At 42.1% G+C, this 24,921-nt stretch overlaps 1 protein-coding gene and 2 pseudogenes across 9 annotated transcripts in view, besides 2 other annotated features; 2 read left to right on the top strand and 1 right to left on the bottom strand.

Annotated features, from left to right (window-relative positions):
* Window positions 813–927, top strand: RNA5SP143 (RNA, 5S ribosomal pseudogene 143; annotated as a pseudogene).
* Window positions 10,626–11,315, bottom strand: RPL6P9 (ribosomal protein L6 pseudogene 9; annotated as a pseudogene).
* Window positions 13,521–13,620: an enhancer, noted in NCBI's record as "active region_20644". NCBI's record gives its function as "activates an Ori minimal core promoter by ATAC-STARR-seq in GM12878 lymphoblastoid cells {active_cell/tissue: GM12878}" and the evidence as "EXISTENCE:reporter gene assay evidence [ECO:0000049][PMID:35858748]".
* Window positions 13,871–24,921, top strand: part of ATR (ATR checkpoint kinase) — a 129,499-nt gene continuing 118,448 nt past the window's right edge. For all 9 annotated transcript variants that reach the window (NM_001354579.2, XM_011512925.2, NM_001184.4 and 6 more), the window contains exons 1-2: window positions 13,871–13,958; window positions 24,450–24,541. In NM_001354579.2, the coding sequence (NP_001341508.1) occupies window positions 13,900–13,958; window positions 24,450–24,541 (151 nt within the window). In that variant the 5' untranslated portion in view covers window positions 13,871–13,899. The remainder of the gene's footprint in view (window positions 13,959–24,449; window positions 24,542–24,921) is intronic.
* Window positions 13,921–14,080: an enhancer, noted in NCBI's record as "active region_20643". NCBI's record gives its function as "activates an Ori minimal core promoter by ATAC-STARR-seq in GM12878 lymphoblastoid cells {active_cell/tissue: GM12878}" and the evidence as "EXISTENCE:reporter gene assay evidence [ECO:0000049][PMID:35858748]".

The following is a 24,921-nucleotide window of genomic DNA, read 5'->3' as shown; positions in this document are numbered from 1 at the left end:
GCTACTGTGCCAAGAAGTTCACATTGTTTATTTCATTTAATATTCATGAAGACAAAAGTGCAGATTCAATAATAATAGGTAACAAAGACAGCGAATGGCGGAACCAGGATTCCAACTCAAGAGTGAATGGCGGGCCGGGCGCGGTGGCTTATCCCAGCACTTTGGGAGGCCGAGACAGGTGGATCACTTGAGGTCAGGAGTTCAAGAACAGCCTGGCCAACATGGTGAAACCTCATCTCTACCAAAAAATACAAAAATTAGCTGGGTGTGGTGGCATGTGCCTGTAGTCCCAGCTACTTGAGAGACTGAGGCAGAAGAATTGCTTGATGCAGGGAGGCAGAGGTTGCAGTGAGCTGAGATCACGTCACTGCACTTCAGCCTGGGTGACGGAGTGAGACCTTGCCTCAAAAAAAAAAAAAAAAAAAAAGCTAATGGAAGAACCAGGATTCAACTCCAGTTTTCTACTATTTACAATACTGGTCCCTGTATTCTAAGGGAAAAATATTGGCATTCTGGATTATAACCGAGTCTCTGTGAATGTGGCTAATGTTAGTTCATTCCCCAGAGCCTGATGGTTTCTAACATGCTTATAACCACAACACCCCACTGCAACCCAGCCCTGATCAGCATCCCGAAATCAGCTACTATATAGGCACCAATTTTACAATCAATTTTAGAAAAGTAGGTGCATTCTGAATGATACCAGCAAGTGTGATGTGACCATATTTATTTCATTTGGCTGGTTTTTTTTTTCCAGAACAAAGAGAGTAGAGAAAAAAACATATGTGAGAAAGACTAAGATTCAATATTCAGTCTGTGGCCATACCACCCTGAACACTCTCGATCTCGTGTGATCTCGGAAGCCAAGCAGGGTCAGACCTGGTTAGTACTTGGATGGGAGATTCAGTATTCATTTCAACTCTGAATTTATGATAAATCATTTAGAAGAGAAAACAATAATATGAGAAATAAGTCCAAAAAAACAGGGCAAAACTTCTCTCTCTCTCATGCATACACACACACACACACACACACACACACACACACACAAAATTTAACACACACACCGTTTTGATCTAACACAGATAAGATCAAAATAGCCAACAAAGCACACACACCTAAACCCACCTACCACCTAAAATCTCATGAAATGATAAAGGGGATAATTTTATTTGTTTATTTTAATCATTATTTATTTTTGAGACACAGGGTCTCACTTTGTCACCCAGGCTGGAGTGCAGTGGCAGGAACATGGTTCACTGCCTCCACCTCTGGGGCCCAATTGATCTTCCTGCCTCAGCCTCCTGAGTAGCTGGAACTACAGGCATGCACCACCACACTCAGCTAATTTTTGTATTTTTTGTACAGACAGGGTTTCACCGTGTTGCCCTGTCTGGTCTGGAACTCCTGAGCTCCAGCGATCCGCCTGCCTCGGCCTCCCAAAGTGCTGGGATTACAGGCATGAGCCACAGGGCCCAGCCAGGAGATACTTTTAAAAAGTAAAGGCCGGGTACAGTGGCTCACACCTATAATCCCAGCGCTTTGGGAGACCGAGGCAGGCAGATCACCTGAGGTTGGGAGTTCAAGGCCAACCTGAGCAAAATGGAGAAACCCCATCTCTACTAAAAATACAAAATTAGCCTGGCGTGGTGGCGCATGCCTGTAATCCCAGCTACTCAGGAGGCTGAGGCAGGACAATTGCTTGAACCCAGGAGGCGGAGGTTGCATTGAGCCAAGATCGTGCCATTGCACTCCAGCCTGGGCAACAAAAGCGAAACTCCATCTCCAAAAAATAAAAATAAAAATAAGTAAAAGAAGGCTGGGTGTGGTAGTTCATGCCTGTAATCCCAGCACTTTGGGAGGCCAAGGCGGGTGGATCAACCTAAGCTCAGGAGTTCAAGAGCAGCCTGGTCAACATGGTGAAATCCTAGAAACAAAAAAAATTGCCATCGACAAACCAGAAATGTTGAGAAAAGACAGAATGCAGATAGATTAAATCTCAGAAAAACCAAATGGAAGGAAAATTCGGCTCAAATCATATGGAGGAATCTGCTAAAGGCAAAAATAGTAGTAGTTGGGGAGAGGGTGTACAAACTTACAGTTAACAGATCAAGAAGTAGGGAGGAGGGTACTGAGACATTGGTCAGGGGGAGTAATTAGAATAAGAGATTTAGAGTAGCTAGGCTGGTCAACCACTTTCTTCTCTCCAACTGGTTCTAAATTGTGGCCCAGAAAGCAATAGACCACCAGGAAGAACACCAGTCTTCCACACTTTAAAGATGAGCAACCACACACCCTTGTCTTATAAGTGCTGTTCCCTATACAAAATTGGCAGAGAACAGCTACCATAAATAAATAGGCAAAAGGAAGAGAGATTCTAAAATACAAAATTGAACAGATAGCTAACACATTATCATACATTTGAAAAAAGTTACCATGAAAGAGGCACCATTTTTACAATTATTATTAGACAAAACAAAGCTACAGAACAATCAGAAGAAGACATTTGAAATGTATAATATCTTCAGAGAAACATGAGAAGATGTCATATGTACAAAAACTTTGAGTATATATTTGGAAATTTAAAATTTTGATAACTGAGGCTGGGTGTGGTGGCTCACTCCTATAAATCCAGCACTTTGGGAGGCCGAGGCAGGCAGATCGCTTGAGTTTAGGAGCTTGAGACCAGCCTGGGCAACATGGCTAAACCCTCATCACCACAAAAATACAAAAATACAAAAATTAGCTAGGAAGTCAGGCACGGTGGCTAATGCCTATAATCCCAGCACTTTGGGAGGCTGAGGCAGCTGGATTGCTTGAGTCAGGCATTTGAGACCAGCCTGGCCAACATGGTGAAACCTGTCTCTACTAAAAATACAAAAATTAGCCAGTCATGGTGGTGAGTGCCTGTGATCCCAGCTACTCAGGAGGCTGAGGCAGGAGAATCACTTGAACCGGGAGGTGGAGATTGCAGTGAGCCGAGATCACGCCATTGCACTCCAGCTTGGGCAACAGAGCGAGACTCAATCTCAAAAAGAAAAAAATTACCTAGGCATGGTGACACACATCTGTAGTCCCAGCCAGCTACTTGGGAAGCTGAGGTGGGACGATCACTTGAGCCCAGGAGGTTGAGGCTACAGTGAGCCATAATTGCACCACTGCACTCCAGCCTGGGTGACAGAGACCCTGTTAGAAAAAAAAAAAAAAAAAAAAAAAATATATATATATATATATATATGAGATATATATGATATATGTTATATATATGATATGATAGCTGAAATTAAAAAATGAAATGAATGGTCTGGGTTTCAGAATAGACATAGATTAATAACTGGAAAATCAAGCTGGCCTATTATCCCAGAATGATGTCACCCCAATTAGCAGTGGCAGAAAAAAATGGCTTTAGGGCCTATAAGGGTGCCCTGAGGCAATTTTCTACATTCTCCACCCTCCCCCCATACCTTGCCCTTACTTATTTGGAAAAAAATAAGATCATATACCACATTAACTGAAACAGATGGCAAATTATGAAAGAGCTATGGGGTGTGGCAAAGGCTGCTGATTGTCCTCAAATATCTTTTCATTAAATATATCTATGATGTATTTATGAAAATAAGGGCATTTCAAAATACAGGAGAATGATTGACTAGTCAGTGACATAGTAACAGATACCATGCATGGATTGACCAACTGTCTTCTTGGATGCCTTCCTGGAAAGCCAAAACCAATATTTCCCACATTCACTTGTAGCTAGGATTCCAAAAATGATTTAGGTTTTACCAAGCCAAGTTAGACTGATTCAAATTTGTATTACATGAAGAGAGAGGAAAGGCATGAACCCCTTTGGGCAGATTCCTAATTCTGCAGCGTCCTGATCCTTTCAGAGTTAGCAGCTGCCTTGACAGGTAATTTGGGGAGTTCTTGAAGACTCATGATGAAGCCTGTTTCTCTCAAAGATTTTGTATATCATCTAGATCCCTTAAACTCTTTATTTTGAAAGTGGCAGAAGGGACTTCAATACCAACATATGAACTATCTGTCTGGGAAATGAGTTGTCTGATCTTGTTTCAAAAATGATCTGTAGATAAATGGGAAAACAAATACTAGCAAACTGAAGTACAAAAATGTTAGGGAAAAGTATAAAAGAACATTTTAAATCTTGTGGTTAGCCTTTCTAAGCAAGACTAAAATCCAGAAGACACAAAGGAAATGATGGGTAGATTTGATATAATAAAAATTAAAATTCCTACATAAGAGCCAAGTGACAGACTAAGATATAATATTCTCAGATATAAATCAGAAAAGGTTTAATTCATAATATGTTAAAATGTTTGTATAAATCAATAAAAAAGACACAACCAAATTAAAACTGATAAAATTCTAAACAGGTAATTTACTAAAAAAAGGTAATCCAAATGATTAATAGACATGAGTAGATGCTTGAACTTGCTGGTAAGTAGAGAAATGCATATACATACATGTAAGTGCCGTAACCTAATCAAATCAGAATCTCTGGGAGTCCCCAGATACTTTTTAAAAATCTTCTCATCCACATAAATTCAATGTGTAGCCAAAGTTAAGAACCACTACCCTAAAACAGTGCTAACTCAAAGTGTGGGCAGTGGACCAGCAGCAGTAGCATCTAGCAGCTTGTTAAAAATGCGAATTACTGAGTTTCCTTTCAGACCGATTGAATCAGAATTTCTCCAGGTGATTCTGATGCATGCTCAATTTTGAGAACTCTGAAACCTCTCTGCATTTTATTTACAGAGCTACTTGGAGGATAATAGCAGGTGAAAGTATTTTCAGAAAAGTAAAAATAGTAATCGCAAATACAAATAATCATACTATTCCGATATATTTTACATAATCTTAGGGTCATACTCAGGACCTAGCAATGAAAATGACAATAATTCATTACTGAAATAGAAATCTCTTGGAGACATAAAGAATTAGTCCATGTCCTTATTTCTGAATTGTCTCCAAATACAGTGGAGTGTTAGTTAGTTCTATAATACAGTCTTAGTAGATGTGAAACTGCCACAGGGATAGGAAGCCAAATGGCTTACTTTTAAGTTTCTTAAATATTTTGTTACTTTATGATGGCTTTTTTTTTGTAATGGGTTTTTGCAGTGTTTCCACTAAATGGGACAAGTGTATTGGTGCAGTTTGGCTATTCTGCACTATTAAATTTCAGAATATTGGCTTGTGGTTATGTTGTCTATTATTTGAGGCTTTACCCAAAGAAAACTAACAGACATGTGCCCCCTTTTACCCTTTATCTATGTCTGACAATATTCCATACATAGCCAAGCTATTAAAGAAGAGAAATGTCGTGGTCTTTGGGTTTTAAGAAGGTTGCTCTGACTGCTGTGTAGAACAACTCCAAACAACATCAGCATCATCTAGAAGCTTGTTAAAAATGCATATTATTGAATGTGTGTGTACCAAGAGGTGTCCACTGAAGTTCATTCGGATGTAGAAAGGAACTTGTAAAACTGTTGCATTATGTTGGAACTTGCATAGCTAACCAACCAGGAGTTTGGGCATCTGGCTGAGAACCAAGTCTATCTTAGTCTCAACTGGGTTGTAGTACCACCTGGTGGTCATTTTCCACTCTAGTTTAATCATGAATGGGGACAATTCTATACACATGGCTGACTGGAATTCCAGAACACTGACTGATGCCCCTTTGGCAACTTGATCTGTGACACTGGGCTTAGGAAATACCAGGGACACTGGGACCTATCCACACCAACCACTCTGCTTCCTGCCTCACCCTCTCCTCCAAACTCCTACTCCCCAAATGATAAAAAGAGGGCTGACAGGAATGCAGGAATCAATTAGTAGTTGTATTATGTTCAAATTTACATTATCATGAAATTCATGTACATTAGGATGTAGAACTATATATGGTTAATAAAAATGTGCACATATTAGGATACAAATTTTTAAAATTTCAAGAGTACTACTGAATAATAATTTTTAAAAAGTTGGATAACAAATGCTGGCAAGGATGTGGAGAAAAGGGAACCCTTGTACACTGTTGGTGAGAATGTCAATTAGTACAACCACTATGGAGAACAGTGTGGAGGTGCCTCAAAAAACTAAAACTAGAACTACCATATGATCCAGCAATCCCACTGCTAAGTATATACCCAAAAGAAAGGAAATTGGTTTATCAAAGAGATAACTGCACTCCCATGTTTATTGCAGCACTATTCACAATAACCAAGATTTAGAAGCAACCTAAGTGTTCATCAACAGATGAATGGATAAAGAAAATGTGATACATGTACACAACGGAGTAGTATTCAGCCATAAAAAAGAATGAGATCCTGTTATTTGCAACCACATGGATGAAACTGGAGGTCATTATGTTAAGTGAATTAAGCCAGGCACAGAAAGACAAACTTCACATGTTCTCACTTATTTGTGGGAGCTAAAAATAAAAACAATTGAACTCATGGAGATACAGAGTAAAATGATGGTTACCAGAGGCTGGGAAGGGTAGTGGGGGGGTGACGGGTGTGCGGTAGGGATGGTTAATGGGTACAAAATATAGTTAGATAGAATAAGTATTTGAGCCTGTAATCCTAGCACTTCAGGAGACTGAAGCAGGCCGATCACTTGAGCCCAGGAGTTCAACACCAGCCTAGGCAACATGGCAAAACCCCCGTCTCTACAAAAAACACCAAAATTAGCCAGCTGAGGTGGTGTGCACTTGTAGTCTCAGCTACTCAGGAGGCTGAGGTGGGAAAATCACTTCAGCCTGGAAGCCCAAGGCTGCAGTACACCAAGATCAGGCCACTGTAGTCCAGCCTGGACAACAGATGAGACCTTGTCTCAAAAAAGAAAAAAGATCTAGCATTTGATTGCAGAACAGGGTGACTACAGTCAAACATTTATTGTACATTTTTAAATGAATATAATTGGATTGTTTGTAACACAAAAGATAAATGCTTGAGGTGATGGATACCCCATTTACCCTGATGTGATTATTACACATTGTGTGCCTGTATCAAAATAGCTTATGTACCCCATAAAGTATATACACCTACTATATACCCACAAAAATTAAAAATTGGCCGGATATGGTGGCTCCTGCCTATAATCCCAGCACTTTGGGAGGCCAAGGCAGCAGATCACCTGAGGCCAGGAGCTCCAGACCAGCTTGGCCAACATGGCGAAGCCCATCTCTACTAAAAATACAAAAATTCACCGGGCGTGGTGGCACACACTGGGATTACAGTAGCTGTAATCCCAGCTACTCAGGAGGCTGAGGCAAGAGAATGGCTTGAATCCTGGAGACGGAGGTTGCAGTGAGCCGAGATCGTGCCACGGCACTCCAGCGAGTGAGACTCCATCACACACACACACACACACACACACACACACACACACAAAAAAGCTAGGAGATGGCCACGCGCAGTGGCTCACTCCTATTAAATCCCAGCATCCCAGCACTTTGGGAGGCCAAGGTGGGCAGGTCACTTGAGGTCAGGTGTTCAAGACCAGCCTGGCCAATATGGTAAAACCCCATCTCTCCTAAAAATACAAAAATCAGCTGGGCATAGTGGCATGCACCTGTCATCCCAGCTACTTGAGAAGCTGAGGTGGGAGGATGGCTTGAATCCTGGAGGCAGAGGTTGCAGCTGAGCCGAGATCACATGATTGCAATCCAGCCTGGGCGACAGAGTGAGACTCGTTTCAGGAAAAATAAAAGGTCTGGGAGACTCTCTCCCCCTCAAGTATGGAGAATGGGTTAGAGAAAAACAAGCCTAAAGGCAGATAGGCAAGCTAGAAGCCTGTTGAAGTAATTTAGGCAAGAGGTGATGATGGTCTAAAACTAGAATGGTGGTAAGGGAATTTGGGGGAAAGTGGATAGGTTTGATATTTAGGAGATAGAATCTAGTCCTTATGTTTTAAAGATATAAACTGAAGTATCTGCAGATAAATTGATATGAGGTCTAGACTTTTCTTTAATCCAACTGAGGAGAGAGAAAATGAGAAAGGTGGTTATAAATGAAACAAAGACTAACCATATGCTGATAATCATTGATTGGGTGATGGACATAAAGGAGTTCCTTATTGTGTCTACTTTTATATATATTTGAAAGTCCCCATAACAAAAAGTTAAACAAAATAAAGTGCCTGGGAAATGCTGAAGGGAAAATATTCAGTAGGGAGATAGACATAGGAAATATAAATCTTGGAGAGAGATAAGGGAAGAGCAATGAATTTTGGAGTGAACAGCAGACGGAAAGTTAATTGAAGCCTTGAGTGTGAATGAAATAATAAAAAAGAGAAAAGAAACTAAGTTAGAATCCTGAGGAATATCAACAGTAACGGGAATGGCAAAGAAGTGTTGTTAACAAGTAAGCGTCATGGAGTCCAAAGAAAGCTTTCCAAGAAAGCAGCAGTGGTCTACATTAGGGGTCTCCAACCCCTGGGCCACAGTACTGGCCAGTGGCCTGTTAGGAACCGGGCCACACAGCAGGAGGTGAGTGGAGGGCAAGCAAGTGAAGCTTCATCTCTTTTCACAGCAGCTTCCCATCACTGGCATTACCGCCTGAGCTCCGCCTCCTGTCAGATCAGCAGGGCATTAAATTCTCATAGGAGTGCAAACCCTATTGTGAACTGCACATGTGACAGATGTAGGTTGCATGCTCTTTATGAGAATCTAATGCCTGATGATCTCTCATTGTCTCCCATCACCCCAGATGGGACCGTCTAGTTGCAGAAAAACAAACTCAGGGCTCCCACTGATTCTACATTATGGTGAGTTGTATAATGACTTATTATATATTACAATGTAATAATAGTGCAAAATAAATGTAATGTGCTTGAATCATCCCGAAAACATCCCTCCACCTCCCTGTCCATGGAAAAACTGTCTTCCACAAAACTGGTCCTTGGTGCCAAAAAGGTTGAGGACAGCTGGTCTCTATTGTCAAATGCTGCTAAAAGGTCAAAGGAAAGAACTGGTCAACAGCCATATGAAAGTCATTGGTAACTCTGGTGAGAGGCACTTAAGGGGTGGGAGGGCAAACAGGACAGAGAGTATAGTATACGTAGGTTTAGGGCTGAGTAGAAGGTGTAGAAATGGAACCAGCCTGGATAATACATGAGTTACTAGAGGGAGGATGTCTACTTGGAATGCTGACTTCTTGAATCAACTCATTTGTTAAAATACTGCTATAGATGTTTGATTTCTCTAAATGACCTGCTACTCTCCTTTTATTCTGTTCTACACTCTCCTGCCAGATTCAAGTGTAGCTTTGACCATCACTCTTATATGAAATCTCCCAGAGCCTCTCCAATACTTACTGAAGTCTGTACAAATGTCTCAGACTACTCTAAATGTTCCCTTGTACCAGCCAAAGGGGACCGTGTCCCTCCCTCAGCATGCTTTTTGTTCATACTGCTGCCTCTAGTTAGAATATATTCCTTTTCCCCAATTTCTGTCTCTTGAAGTCCTCCTCATCCTTCAAGTCCAATCTCAGATATGGTGACACCTTCTCCTTGAGCTCCTTCCTGATACACCTCTTCTTTCCACTGGAGTAGATTGTGTCCTCTATTTTTCCAATACATGCTGTTTATATCCCTGTCCTGGCATTCACTGGATTTCACTTTGCTCTTAATTGTCTATGTTCTCATTATATCCTTTCTGTATCCACAAATTGTACATTACCTGAAATTAACTTTTTTTTTTTCCTCTGAGACAGGATTTGGCTCTGTTGCTCAGGCTGGAATGTAGTGGCGAGATTGTGGCTTACTGTAACCCTGGCTTCCTTGGCTCAAGCCATCCTCCTACCTCAGCCTCTCAAGTAGCTGGGACTACAAGTGTTAGCCACTATGCCCCGCTGAAACTAACTTCATCTTCCTCATTTTTGTGTCTGTCACAGAAGTACCTAACCCAATATCTTGCCCAAAATGACTTTTTGAATTAAATGGGATTTCTGAGGCTCTATTATTTATAAGGCTTGCAAATTTATACTGCTTTTTAGAATTACCATGCTATTTAGCTATTGCCTTCCAGATAGCATTCTAATTTTTATAATCTTTCTTCATATGTTCTAAAAATAGCTAAAATTTGGTATTTTTAAACTATTTTTCAGATGTGTTATTTAAGCTTAAAAGTATACTTATTTTAGTTTTTAAATGCATCAGTTATTTAATTAGGTTCTTGGTAAGACATTTAGAACACCTATTTGCTAGGATAAACTCCATTCATCAGAGCAAACACAGATTACAGGTAGCCCTGGAGCTAAGGAATAGCTTTGATTTTTGGTAACATTTACGAGTCCACAACTTTCTAATTTTTTTTTTTTTTTTTTGAGATGGAGTCTTGCTCTGTCACCCAGGCTAGAGTGCAGTGGTGCGATCTCTGCTCACTGCAAACTCTGCTTCCCGGGATCAAGTGGTTCTCCTGCCTCAGCCTCCCCAGCAGCTGGGATTACAGATGCCCGCCACCACGCCAGGCTAATTTTTGTATTTTTAGTAGAGATGGGGTTTCACCATGTTGGCAGGCTGGTGTCGAACTCCTGACCTCAAGTGATCCACCCGCCTCAGGCTCCCAAAGTGCTGGGGTAACAGGAGTGAGCTAGCGTGCTTGGCCACGAGTCCACAGCTTTCTGATCAACCTTGCATTGCTCCATAATCTTCTATTACTCTCTTTCTGTGTTGACGATGTCACTTTCCCAGTATTTGGGCTTCCATAGCATCATCTTCTTAAGCAAGCATTGGTAAGATGTTTTGGAATTTTCACATTGCTGATTTCAATTTTGTGATGACCTCTGGTGTGTTTCCCACAGAATGTGAATGAGGACCAGAGGTCCAGTCACAATTAACAAGCCACTCCTCAGCTGCTCCAGTAAAACCACCCTCTTGCCTTTGTGGTGCCCAGTGAGGATAAGCAGAATGATCCCAGGAGAGAAGCTAGTTTGCAGTTTTCTCTGTGCTGACTGAAGTGTTTCTGTTTGTTTTTTCTGTGGCTCAACAGCAGCTTTCCAGGCACATCTTTGGAAGGATCTAGGCATTTTGTAGGGTTTACTTTGCAAAAAGTATCACCATTCTTGTTGCCACCAACTGGTTTTGTAGCAATGGCAAGAACCTTTTCCTTTTTCAAGTCTGGACTTTCTTCTTTTTAATTCTGGATTTAGTACCCGAGTACTTCCTCTTGTACCTGGCCTTTTTGACATAGCAGATTGAGAATATCTGCCAATTCCTCTGATAAGGACAGGATTTCCGCTGCAGGGGGGCTTCCCTTTCTTTGGCTTTTTAGCCTTGAGGTGTTTTTGTTTGTGTTTTTTGACGGAGTTTCGCTCTTGTTGCCCAAGCTGGAATGCAATGATGCAATCTCGGCTCACTGCAACCTCCGCCTCTCGGGGTCAAGCGATTCTCCTGCCTCAGCCTTCCGAATAGCTGAGATTACGGGCGCCCACCAGCACACCCAGCTAATTTTTTGTATTTTTAGTAGAAATGGAGTTTCACCATGTTAGCCAGGCTGGTCTTGAATTCCTGACCTCAGGTGATCCGCCTGCCTCAGCCTCCCAAAGTGCTGGGATTACAGGCGTGAGCCACCGTGCCCAACCGAAGTTATGTTTTAACCTTGCCACTAGCATCAGCCTTCTTGGCTTCACGTTTCTTCTCCTTGGTGTCTGGCTTCTCAACTTTTTCCCCCACCATCTTACAAGACGGGAAGGAGCTATTTTTTTTAATACATGTTGGAATATCCTGGCTATGCAGATACAAATAGTAATATAACATCCACCCAAATATAACATTAAATTTTGATTAAATAATAATTAATTCAAATCCTACTAAAAGAAAACCCTTAGGGATACATTGAAGCTTCATCATTTCATTCCCTTCTCTCCCTTCCACAGGTGCAACTATCCTGGAGTTGATATCTATCTTTGCCAAACATGTTTTCATACTTTTATCAAACATATTTGTATACATAACTCACACAACGCATTGTTTTGTGGTTTTAAGATTGTATATAAATGATATGACACTATTATGTATACCTTTGAATTTGCTTTTTCAATCAATGTAGTTTTCAGGATTCATCGTTGGTATAGGTAGTATAATTCATTCATTTTAACTATGAAATTATATTCCACTTTATGACTTTACCCCCTCTTATTTAATCTTTGCTGTAATCTTGTGAGGTAGACATTATTAATCCCATTTTATAAATGAAAAAATGGAAGTATTAAGAGATTAAGTAACTTTACTGAGGTCATATAGTTTCTAGCAGATGGAATGAGAACTTGTGTAGGGCCTGTAACTCCCAATCCCATGTCCTTTCTCCTAAAACATTCAGTGATTCATTCAACAAATGTTTACTGAACACCACCTATGTGCCAGGCACAGTTTTAGGTCCTGGGTATCTGAGAGTGAACAAAATAGACAAGACCTTGCTCTCCAAGAGCTTACACTCTAACTGGAGAGAGACAATAATATAGTATGTCCGGGTGTGGTGGCTCTCACCTCTAATTCTAGTACTTTGGAAGGCTGAGGTGGGAGGAGCGTGTGAGGCCAAGAGTTTGAGACCAGCCTGGGCAACATAGCAAGACCTTGTCTCTACAAAAAATAATTAGCCAGGCGTGGTGGCATGTCTGTAGTCCCAGCTACTCAGGAGGCTGAGGCAGGAGGATCAATTGAGCCCAGGCTGAGGTGAGAGGATCGCTTGAGCCTGGGAGATTGAGGCTGCAGTGAGCTATGATTGCAACATTCATTGCACTAGAACCTGAACAACAGAGTAAGACAATGTATCTAACAAAAAAAAGAGGGTGAGACAGAATGTGTATATATGTTAGTCTATATGAGGCTCTTTGGTGTTAATTTGGCAAACACCTGAAGGAAAAAGGGCAATGACAGAGTGGTGTTCAAGGCAGAGAGTACAGCAAATGCAAAGTTCTTGAGGCAAGAGCATATTTGGCTGTCATTCCATCACTTTTTTCTTTAAGATACTGTATCGGTTAACTATCCTCATGTACCAAAGAACAAATGTAAACATACTGCATGACTTTGAGTGATTAACTACATAACTTTGACATGTCAACAATCTCTTATGGTGGTCATCTTTCCAATAAATTGAGTTGAGCTAGAAAATGTGTATTGCCAAAATCCATTGATTTACTTTAAAAATTAAATCACAGGTTGCGGATGCCCGTAATGGTGGCATTTCCACACACAGTACTGTTGCTGATTTGATGAGACACAAATATATTCCAACCCCATTTTCAAATATTAAAAGTTGGTAGGGTCCTCAACGAAACCTAACAGTGACTTCAAGTTGAAAAAAAATGCTTAAAAGGAAAAAAACAGGGAGAGCCCACCTTTTGGCCTGTATCTCTCAGAAAGAGGGACAAGAGCGGTGGGAACGTGAGGAACTTTTAAAATGTGAGAGCGTTACTCTGGGGAAACCTGGAGTTTACTCTTGGCCTTTACTCGCTGGACTGTCATAGTTCTCACATTTGTGAAGCGAGTCTGGGCTGGCGGCCCTCAAGCCCTATCCTCCCCCGATGCGGAAGTCTTGCTTCTCTGTGCCTCCCAGGCTTGAGAACAGCAGAGTCTGGCCGCTCAAAACGAAAGCTTCACGAACGTCGCTCGCTCGGTGCTGAGAAAGAAGCCTGACGCGACCCGGGAAACTTGACCGACGCACGCCCGCCCGCTTGCCCCGCCCCCTAACGGCTTCCCGGCTTCCCCCGGGTCCTATGCAGAAAAGACGCTGGGCCTGGCAAGCGGGGCCAGTAGCGGCTTCCGGGAGGAGTTTTGGCCTCCACACGGCTCCGTCGGGCGCCGCGCTCTTCCGGCAGCGGTAGCTTTGGAGACGCCGGGAACCCGCGTTGGCGTGGTTGACTAGTGCCTCGCAGCCTCAGCATGGGGGAACATGGCCTGGAGCTGGCTTCCATGATCCCCGCCCTGCGGGAGCTGGGCAGGTAGGGCTAGGCCCAGCCTGGGTCCTGCATCCTCCTCCGCTGATTCCGGCTTGGGTTTCACGTGCTCTCCCCTCCCCTGCTGCGCTATGGCTGGGATCCCCTAAGCCCCCGCTGCGGCCCTTGTGGAGATGCTCCGTGGCTGATTTGGGCGCTTCTCCCTCAGAGTGCCCGTTGATAGCACATGGGGCAGTCGCCACAAACCTGCGGGAAGCCGGTCCGTGGGGGAGAGAGGCGTCTGCCGGCCCTGGTTTACCACTCACCCCGATCGAGAGTTTGCTTCCTGCAGCTGGAGGAAGAGTCCCTGCTGATCGCTTTCTGGTCACTTTTCTACACTCATTTTCTTCTCGAAAATCTTTTTCCTTAGACGAGGGACTTGACCCATCAGTTTCTGTTCTTTGTGATCACTCGTGGAGGAATTGGTTTTTAGCCTTACATTTTGTCCCCAAACTGCCCTTGAAAGAAAATCACCGCTTCTCATTTTCTGCAAGTGACATCACTTGCTGGAAAAGGCAGTTTTTTTCTTTGAAGTGAAGTCATAGTACATACTGAAGATGTGACCTCCCTCGTATTGATCGTCCAGTTCCCGATCCGTTATTTTAGTCAGAAATTGGAGAGATAGACCCCTGGGTCCACAAAATCTCAGCGTGCACAGAGTGTTGCCAAAATTTGGAGACAATTTAATATTTCATTTGCAAATGCATGTTGTCTGTAAACCTCATGAAAACCAGTATCTTACCACAAGGAGGGAGAGGTGTTGATGGCTCTCACACCTCTTCAATACACAGGCAGGCTTCCCTGAACCAGGCCTAAAGACTCGGTAGAGCTTGTTTTGCTTTGTTTGTTTTAATTCTACACTACTGCGAACAAGAAATAAATAAGCTTGTGCTGCTACCGCAGTTAAATTATCATTTGGAATAACTGCTTCCCAATTTCTTAAACTGTTTGAAAACTTTCCACACAAAGTCAAAGCTGACATTAAGCCAATGGGATAGCTACTTCTCTTTCTTTTTGCAGCGCAGTTGTGTTCATTTCCACTGGTTGGCCATCCAAATAATCTAGTCTCAATATATGAATAAAAGGATAAATGAAGGGACCATTCTTGTCGTAACTGCATCACTATTTTTGAGTGTGTGAATTTTTTCCACTTATCTGTGGCAAGTATACTTTGTGTTTAGTTTATAAAATAACCTCTACCTCTCTAAAAGAAGAGGAAGAAAAGTGATCATTGTAGGAAGTTGGTTTACAAATTTCATCTTTCAGGCTCATTGTGAAGCTGAGTATATTTTTGCCACTTTGCTTTAAAGTAGAATTAACTGGTTAATACTTCTCTTCCCTCTTCTGTCTTCCTCCGTGAGTCCTGTTAATAAAAATAATTGGTTCTTGGATTATATATAGTCGGTTTCATCAGTAGAGTTTATGTTACCTTTCATTTATTTGTAGCTATTCCAAGAGAAAGAATAGAAAAACTGACCCACAGAGAGTTGTCTAATAGTTTTTAATTGTCATGGCTTTTTCATTACAACTACTTGAATCAAAAAAGCTAATCAATTTTCATAGTATATCCATGACATAGAATGAAACAAGTGTTACCACTGTTTAAGAAAAAGGGACAGAGAAGTTGAAGAACCAAAGGCACAGCTAGCAGATAACAGAGCTAGGTTTCAGATTCAAGCTTTCAAGGCCTTTTCTTCCAAAATGTTTCCTCTTAATTGACTATGGCAATTAGACTACTGAAAAAAAAAGATATTAGTGTTCTAATTTATGGGCTGCTCTTCCTCAGTCCCTCAGATAAATTTTGTCCTATTGTTTTTTTGCTATTAGCAGTCTGCTCTGCATAATCTTGCTAAATGACCTTTCCACTCTCCTGCCTTCAACTATAATCTGCTATTTGATGACTACTAATATGTTTCTCCAAATCATGTCTTCTATAGAATTGTATATTTACTGTATACTGGTAGTTTCACTGAGTGTCCTATGTGTAGTTAAGGTTCAGAATATCCAATACAAATTCCCCACATGTCCTAGCTTTCACAAGCTTTCTTTTTTTAAATTAAAAAAATTATTTTTCTCTTATTCATTGAAGTAGAGATATCTCAGTACATGGCACCATATTCACTTAGTTCTCCAAACTGGAAATCTAGAAGTCATTCTTAACTATTTTCACATGTGCTTTCAGTCTATGTCCTTGGCCCTCTTTTAATCTGTGCTGTCTTCCCAAGTAATCTTACCTAATCTCATGGCTTTAAATGTCATCCATATGCTGATAACTCCCAAATTTATATTTCTAGATCGGAGATATATATTAGGTTGCTTACTCAACATCCACACTGGGAAGTGAAAATTAACATATCCAAAGCAGAACGCCTGATTTACTGCGCCCTTGAATTTGTTCCTTCTCCTGTGTTATCGTAAATATGCCAACCAAAAGCCTAGGAGTCATCCTTGGTTTTTTTCCCTTGTCGCTTAATAATCCATAAGTTAGTTCTGACAACCATATGTTTAAGATACATCTAGAATCTAACACTTCTCACTGTCTCCACTGCTACCACCAGAATTTCTTACCTGAACTATTACAGTAACCTTAGTTGATCTTTCCATTTCTACTTTTACCTACTTATAATAGATTTTCCACTCAGTAAAGTGATTTTTCATCTATTAGTCATATTGTAAGTTCCCCTGCACAAAACCGTCCTTTGACATTCCAGCACACTTAAAATCAGTATAAAATCCAAACTCCTTACCAAGGCCTCTAAGGTTCTACATAATCTGGCTCAGCCTGCCTCTGACTTCATCACCTTTTATCCCTCTTTTGCTTACTTTACTCTAGTGATACTGACCTTGTTTCTCCAGGATACCAAGGCTGTTCCTGCCTTTAATCGTTTGCTGTTCCTTCTATCTGAACACTGGATGGTTTCATTTAGATGTCATTTCAGAATCACCTTCTCTGATTTTCCTACTTGAGATTGCTTTGTAGTTGTAAGACATTTTCAAATGTGATAGTTGCTATTAAAATGTTAAATGGAACAGTGGGATGTGGAGGAGGTTCTGAGGAGCAGCAGCATTAGCCACTAGAGGAGATTTGATGGTGTAAAGAAGCTAGTCACGTGAATCTGGGATGGAATAGGAAGTACAAAGGCCCATAAGTGGGAATGAGCCTGCTTTTTTTTTTTTTTTTTTGAGACGGAGTCTCGCCCTCTCCAGTGGCGTGATCTCTGCTCACTGCAACCTCTGCCTCCCGGGTTCAAGCGATTTTCCTGTCTCAGCCTCCCTTTCCTGTAGCTGGGACTACAGGCTTGCACCACCGAGCTAATTTTTATATTGTTAGTGAAGATGGGGTTTTACCATGTTGCACAGGTTGTCTCCAACTCCTGACCTCAAGTGATGCACCCACCTCAGCCACCATGCCAAGGCTGAATGAGCCTACTTTTAAAAGGATAGTAAGAAGGCTGGAGCACAGGGAGTAAAGAGGGGAGTGGTATGAGTTAAACAGGGAGGGGTAGGCAAGGGCCACATCCTTCAGCACCTTGGAGGCTAGAAAAAGGAGTGAGATTTTATTGTGTGATGGGAAACCATTGGAATCTTTTAAACAGGGAAATAAGCAAGTTTTTTAAAACTTGCTTAATTTTTACTTCCTTAAAATCCTTCAGTGCTTACACATTGCCTTCAGTGTAAAATCCAAACTACTTAGCCAGTCCTTTGAAATTTAACCTTATCTTCCCTCTTCAGCTGCATCTCTAAAGGCTTTAGCCACATAGAGCCTCTTACAGTTTCCAGTGCTTGGACTACCCTCCCTCTTACCCTTATTTCACTGCCTTGTCCCTTAGGGAGTCAGTTTTGTATCACCTCGTTAAGGAAGCCATGACTGACAGGGCCCTGCTCAGGGCTGAGTGTCCCTTTGTGTTCTTTCTTGGGCCTGTCAGTTCTTAACCATAATTACCTCTTGTTTGTCCTTTAATCTGCAAATTATTTTAGGGCAGGTGCATTCTGTCTTGGTTATCCTGGTATTTGATGCTTACCTCAGAGGAGGTGCCTAAGCTTTATATAATACTTACATTAATACTCAAATTTTATAGTATGCTTTTGAAAAGTTATACCCTCTTAGCTCAGTTCCAGGGTAGAAGTCACAAAATAAGAAGTGCTCACTCCTGTGAGTTTTCTTTCTTTTTTCTTTTTTTTTTTTTTTTTTTGAGACTGGCTCACCTGTTGCTCAGGCTGGAGTTCAATAGCATGAACATGTCTCACTGCAACCTCTGCCTCCTGGGGTCAAGCGATCCTCCCACCTCAGCCTCCCAAGTAGCTGGGACTACAGGTGTGTGCCACCATGCCTGGCTAATTTTTGTATTTTTGTAGACGGGGTTTCACCATGTTGCCCAGGCTGGTCTCAAACTCCTGGGCTCAAGTGATCCGCCCACCTCAGCCTCCCAAAGTGCTGGGATTACAGACATGAGCCACCACGCCCGGCCAAGTTTCTTTCTTCTGATAGTAGATCTAATGAATGGTAATCAATTTACATTTTTCTAAAACTGATTTTTAAAAATTACACAAATAATACATGAGTACATAATCTTTACAAAATGAAACTTTGTAAGAAACTCTGACCACTACCCACAATCCTGGCTCCTCTTCCCATGTTCCTCTTTGTTCACATTTTTAAATGATACTTGTGAAATTACTGTGGTTTATCATAATGTCTCCTGACTTTGTCTAAAACAATTCATGTTACCTTGTAATTACAGATTTTGAATTTTTTGTTAAATTTGTGATGCCCTATACTATGGTAGCCACTAGCCAAATGTGACCATTGACCACCTCACATGCGGCTAGTCTAAATTGAGATGTGCTGTAAATATAAGATACACAGTGGGTTTCAAAGACTTAGTACCAGAAAAAAGAATGTAAAAGATCTCATGAATAATTTTTATATCGATTACACATTCACCTAATATTTCAGATATATTGTTAGGATCAATTGTTTTTTTCCTGTTTCTTTTCTTAATGTGGCTACCAGAAAATAACAAAATTATGGCTTACGTTATATTTCTATTGGCCAGCGCTGATTTAAATAAGATACATAGCACTAAGTTGTTTTGCTTTCATATGCAAATGTAACTACTTGTTCTTTGATTCTTTTTTTTTTTTAAGGACTTTATTTAGTAGCATATACAAACTTGCTTTTTTTTTTTTTTTTTTTTGAGATGAAGTCTCACTCTGTCATCCAGGCTGGAGTGCAGTGGTGCGATCTTGGCTCACTGCAACCTCCACCTCCATGTCCCAGCGATTCTCCTGCCTCAGTGCCACAGCTTCCCAAGTAACTAGGATTATAGGCGCCCACCACCACGCCTGGCTAATTTTTCTATCTTTTAGTAGAGAAAGGGTTTCACCATGTTGGGCAGCCTGATCTGGAACTCCTGACCTGAAGTGATCAGTCCGTCTCAGCCTCCCAAAGTGCTGTGATTACAGGCATGAGCCACCACGCCTGGCCCTTTGATTCTTTGTGTCTAGAGTTTATGTTACTTAAAAACATTTGTTAATTTCAGTAAGTTTTTCTATTAAGCAAGTTCTAGGTGATGTAGCAGAGGCAAAAAGAAATAAAATGCATTTTCTCTCCTATAAGAGCTTACGGTCTAATGGCACTTTAGGACATGCAGAGAGAAATAAAGCACAGTCTGCCACCTGTAGGAGCTTATAGTCTAGTGGCAGGGAATAGGTAAATATTCCATAGGTCCAGAAGGCTGTACATTAGGAATGAAGAAACCACAAAATTCAGGAAGGTTCTTATGAACCATTCATTCATTGAAGAGTTGTTTTTTTTTCTTTAAATGTCTACTATGTACCAGGACCAGAGAACAGTTCTTTTTTTTCTTTTCTATTTTTTGGAGACAGGGGTCTGGTTTTGTCACCGAGGCTGGAGTGCAGTGACACAATCTTGGCTCACTGTAGCCTCCCAGGCTCAAGCGATCCTCCCACCTCAGCCTCCTGAGTAGCTGGGGACTACAGGTGTGTGTCTCTATACCTGCTCATTTTTCTATTTCTTTTGTAGAGACAGGGTTTCATCATGTTGCTCAGGCTGGTCTCAAACTCCTGAGCTCAAGCAGTCTGCCCACCTTGGACTCCCAAAGCACTGGGATTACAGGCATGAGCTACCATGCCCGACCAGTATCAGTTCTTTTATGGCATTTATTAGCTGTAAATGCTATTGATCCTATATGTAATCAATTAGGATTGGACTTTGTGGTTTGAATAATCAAAAAAAAAAAAAAAAAAAAAAAAAAAGTCAGGCCGGGCGTGGTGGCTCACGCCGATAATCCCAGCACTTTGGGAGACCGAGGCGGATGGATCATGAGGTCAGTAAATCGAAACCATCCTGGCTAACATGGTGCAACCCCGTCTCTACTAAAAATACAAAAAATTAGCCGGGCGTGGTGGCACGTGCCTGTAGTCCCAGCTACTCGGGAGGCTGAGGCAGGAGAATCACTTGAAGCTGCGAGGCGGAGGTTGCAGTGAGCCGAGATCACACCACTGCGCTCCAGCCTGGGCGACAGAGCGAGACTCCGTCTCAAAAGAAAAAAAAAAGAAAAAGGGCCGGGTGCGGTGGCTCACGCCTGTAATCTCAGCACTTTGGGAGGCTGAGGCGGGCGGATTACCTGAGGTCAGGAGTTCGAGCCAGCCTGGCCAACATGGTGAAACCCCGTCTCTACTAAAAATACAAAAATTAGCTGGGTGTGGTGGCACACGCCTGTAATCCTAGCTACTTGGGAGGCTGAGGCAGGAGAATTGCTTGAGCCCGGGTGGCGGAGGTTGCAGTGAGCCAAGATCGTGCCACTAACTGCACTTCACCCTGGCCGACAGAGCGAGACTCTGTATCAGAAAAAGAAAAAAATTCACTCTTTTTCTTTTACCACTATTTGAGATAATAAGTGGGGAAAATGTATGAACATTTTACAGTGCTATATAGAAATAAATTGTGACATATATGAAATATATGCTATTATTTATAAGTAACTGTCTTACTACACCCTAAGTTGTTTTGTCAGAAGTGATGGACTTTGCTAATCACTCACACATAACCCACTGTGAATCCTCTAGGTAGAGTTAATCATTCCCTGCTTTGGGTGTACATGATACTTGCTTTTGATTATTTATTTATTTATTTATTTATTTATTTATTTATTTATTTATTGAGACTGAGTCTCGCTCTGTCGCCCAGGCTGGAGTACAGTGGCGCGATCTCGACTCACTGCAATCTCCGCCTCCCAGATTCAAGCGATTCTCCTGCCTCAGCCTCCTGAGCAGCTGGGACTACAGGCGCCCGCCACCACACCCAGCTGATTTTTGTGTTTTCAGCAGAGATGGGGTTTCACCATGTTAGCCGGGATGGTTTAGATCTACTGACCTCATGATCCGCCTGCCTTAGCCTCCCAAAATGCTCGTATTACAGGCGTGAGCCACCATGCCCGGCCGCTTTTGATTATTTAAGTGCATTCCTCTCCTCTCCCCAGCAACTATTCTGAGTTCTTTGAAGCAGAGGATCTTGTTTTACTTGCCTTTTGAATTTATTAAATTATTTGCGTCTGTACCCATCCATTCTTTCTATGTTTATGAAAGAGTTACCCTCCTGTCCAAGGATTGTCTTTTTACTTATATCTGGTTCCAAGAAGAGGAGTCACATCTCAAGAATTGGTTGCTTAGGTCTTTCCATTATAAGGGAGAAACAAAACAAAGCCCTCTTGATCTCATACAGTTCTTTAGTTATCACCAACTCTACTTCTCTTCATTTCATGATCAAGCTTTGGAAAGAACCCGCTATTCTCAGTATTCACATTTCATTAGATTTTCAGCCCCTTGCAATCTGGCTTCTCTCTTTACTGCTACAGGAAAATTTTAAAAGTCCAAAAGGCATACAAATACCTAAACATAAGAACTAAAACTATGAAACTCTTAGAAGTGAACATAGAGGGGGCCGGGCATGGTGGCTCACACCTATAATCCCAGCACTTTGGGAGGCCAAGATGGGTGGATCACCTGAGGTCAGGAGTTCCAGACTAGCCTGACCAACATGGAGAAACCCTGTCTCTACTAAAAATATACAAAATTAGCCAGGCGTGGTGGTACATGCTTGTAATCGCAGCTACTCAGGAGGCTGAGGCAGGAGAATCGCTTGAACCCAGGAGGCGGAGGTTGCGGTGAGCTGAGATCGCGCCATTGCACTCCAGCCTGGGCAACAAGAGTGAAACTCTGTCTCAAAAAGTAAATAAATAAATAAAAATAAGGGAACATAGAGGGAAAACATTATGACACTGGATTTGGCAATGATTTCTTTGATATGACACAAAGCACAGGCAGCAAAATAAACAGATAAATTGGAATTCATCAAAATTAAAAACTTTGTGCATCAAAGGGCAGTATCAATAGAGTGAAAAGGCAACCCATGGAACTGGAGAAAATATTTGCAAATCATATGTCTGATAAGGAGTTTAATATCTAGAATATATTAAGAACTCCTACAGCTTAACAACAAATATAACCTGATGAAAAACAGAAAAAGAACTTGAATAGACATTTCTCCAAAGAAGATATACAAATGGACAAATAAGCACATGAGAAGATGCTCACAATTACTAATCATTAGGGAGATGCAAATCAAAACCACAGGATACTGTTTCACACCCATTATGATAGCTATTAATAAAAAAACAGTTGGGGCTGGGCATGTTGGCTGATGCCTGTAATCCCAGCACTTTGGGAGGCTGAGGCAGGCGGATCACGAGGTCAGGAGATTGAGACCATCCTGGCCAACATGGTAAAACCCCATCTCTACTAAAATACAAAAAATTAGCCAGGCATGGTGGTGCATGCCTGTAGTACCAGCTACTTGAGAGGCTGAGGCAGGAGAATTGCTTGAACCCGGGAGACAGAGGTTGCAGTGAGTTGAGATCATGCCACTGCACTCCAGCCTGGTGACAGAGCAAGACTCTGTCTCAAAAAAAACCAAAAAACAAAAAAAATCCCACAAAAAAAAAACACAGTTGGGCATGGTGACTCATGCCTACAATCCCAGCACTTTGGGAGGTCAAAGCAGGCAGATCGCTTGAGCCCAGGAGATTGAGACCAGCCTGGGCAACGTGGTGAAACCCTGTCTCTACAAAAAATACAAAAAATTAGCTGGGTGTGGTGACATGCACCTGTGGTGCCAGCTACTCAGGAGGCTGAGGTGGGAGGATCTCCTGAGGCTGGGAGGTTGAGGCTGCAGTGAGTTATGGGTGCACCACTGCACAGTAACCTGGGCAACAGGGTTAGACCCTGTCGCCAAAAGGGGAAAATAAAATAATAATAAAAAAACACCCAGAAAATAACGTGTGTTGGTGAAGATGTGGAGAAATTGGAACCCTTGTCCACTGCAGGTGGGAGTGTACAATGGTACAGCCACTGTGGAAAAGGGTATTAGCGTTCCACCAAAAATTTAGTTTTTATGTGCTTCAGAAGGGAGGAAGTGAATGCTAATTGGTCCATAGGCAGTCATGGGTGGGCCTGGAAAAAGCACCCTAAGTTCTCGCTGTGGTCCGTGTAACTGGCAGCCAGGCTTCCAGGCTTCAAGCTGTTCCTGGCTTGAAGGTGGGTCTTCACTGGGGACCCACCCCTTTCCTCCCAGGAGCCTACTTCCTGCTGCCATCAACCTGCCACCCACTACACCGAGGCTGTTCGTGCCGAGGGGCGCCTGCAGGCCCATATTGAGCTGCCCTCAGCCTACCGCTTGGCCTGCCCAAAGTCCAGAGGGAGATGAGGCAGCAGGGGGCTGGTGTGTCAGTGCCGTCCTGAGCACATGCACACGCGGCCTGGTCCTGACAACACCTGGGCTCCCCCACAACTTTGCTCCGAAATTGGTGTGGGTGCCGGGAGCGGGGAGAGGCCAGGCAGCGGGAGCAGGCATTTCCAAGTCTGTGAGGGCAGGGGGCCTTCCCGGCCCTGGAAAGAGCAGGGATGCCTGGGTTTGCAGCCGTGGTTGGGCGGCTGCAGCTGCACCCAGGATGGCTGGGCTCCCGACCCTGCAACTCGGAAGGGGGCGGGGCTTCCACCTGTCTTGCACCTCAGAAGGGGGCGGGGCTTCTGCCCACTAGCGCCCTGGAGAGAGCAGCCCTAGCACCACCTTCCTCACCGCTCCAACTGGGCTGCCACTGCCATCAATAGCACATTTCAATTTGTACTAATCACATTTCAAGTTCTCCCTAGTTACTTGTAGCTAGTGGCCACCATATTGAGAAGTTCAGGTCTAGGCTTTGCTGATTGGATCTCTTTAGTATTACTTAGCATATTCTTTTTTTTCTTGTAAGTTGGTAACATATTCAGATTTTCTTTTCAATTTTTAAACAGAAGAATACTGTGAATATCAACATTGACACTGAACACATTTGATGAGTTCTACTTTAGAGAAATTTTTTTTGCAAATGAAACTGAGTCACTTTAAGGATTAAAAGCTTTTAATTTGTATTTTAGTGCCACACCAGAGGAATATAATACAGTTGTACAGAAGCCAAGACAAATTCTGTGTCAATTCATTGACCGGATACTTACAGATGTAAATGTTGGTAAGAAACCAATTATTTCTTATATAAACTTTATAAATTAGACTTTTCTTTTCCATGTATAAATTATAGTAGCATTTTCTCCATGTAGTTTTAGATATGGAGTATTTATGATAGTTACTATTTTCAAGCAAGTTATTTGTTAATCAGTATTGCTTATTGCTTGTTACAAAATTTGAATTAGGCTTTTAAAATAATTCTCTTTTCCTGTTTGTTATCTAGATTTTCTACTGCTTGCTATGAGTTCTTTAATATTGGATATTATATGTAAAAATATTTGTCCAGTACCAATCATGTGGACCCTATTTTGGTTAGCTGTTATGCCAGTGGTAGACTAATAGCAAATGCCACCCAAAAAAACCTCTTTAAGTAAGTTACTCTTT

This window comes from Homo sapiens, chromosome 3 (assembly GCF_000001405.40).
Source record: "Homo sapiens chromosome 3, GRCh38.p14 Primary Assembly".
NCBI classification, from domain to species: Eukaryota; Metazoa; Chordata; class Mammalia; order Primates; family Hominidae; genus Homo; species Homo sapiens.
This window is presented reverse-complemented; position numbering and strand designations above follow the sequence as displayed.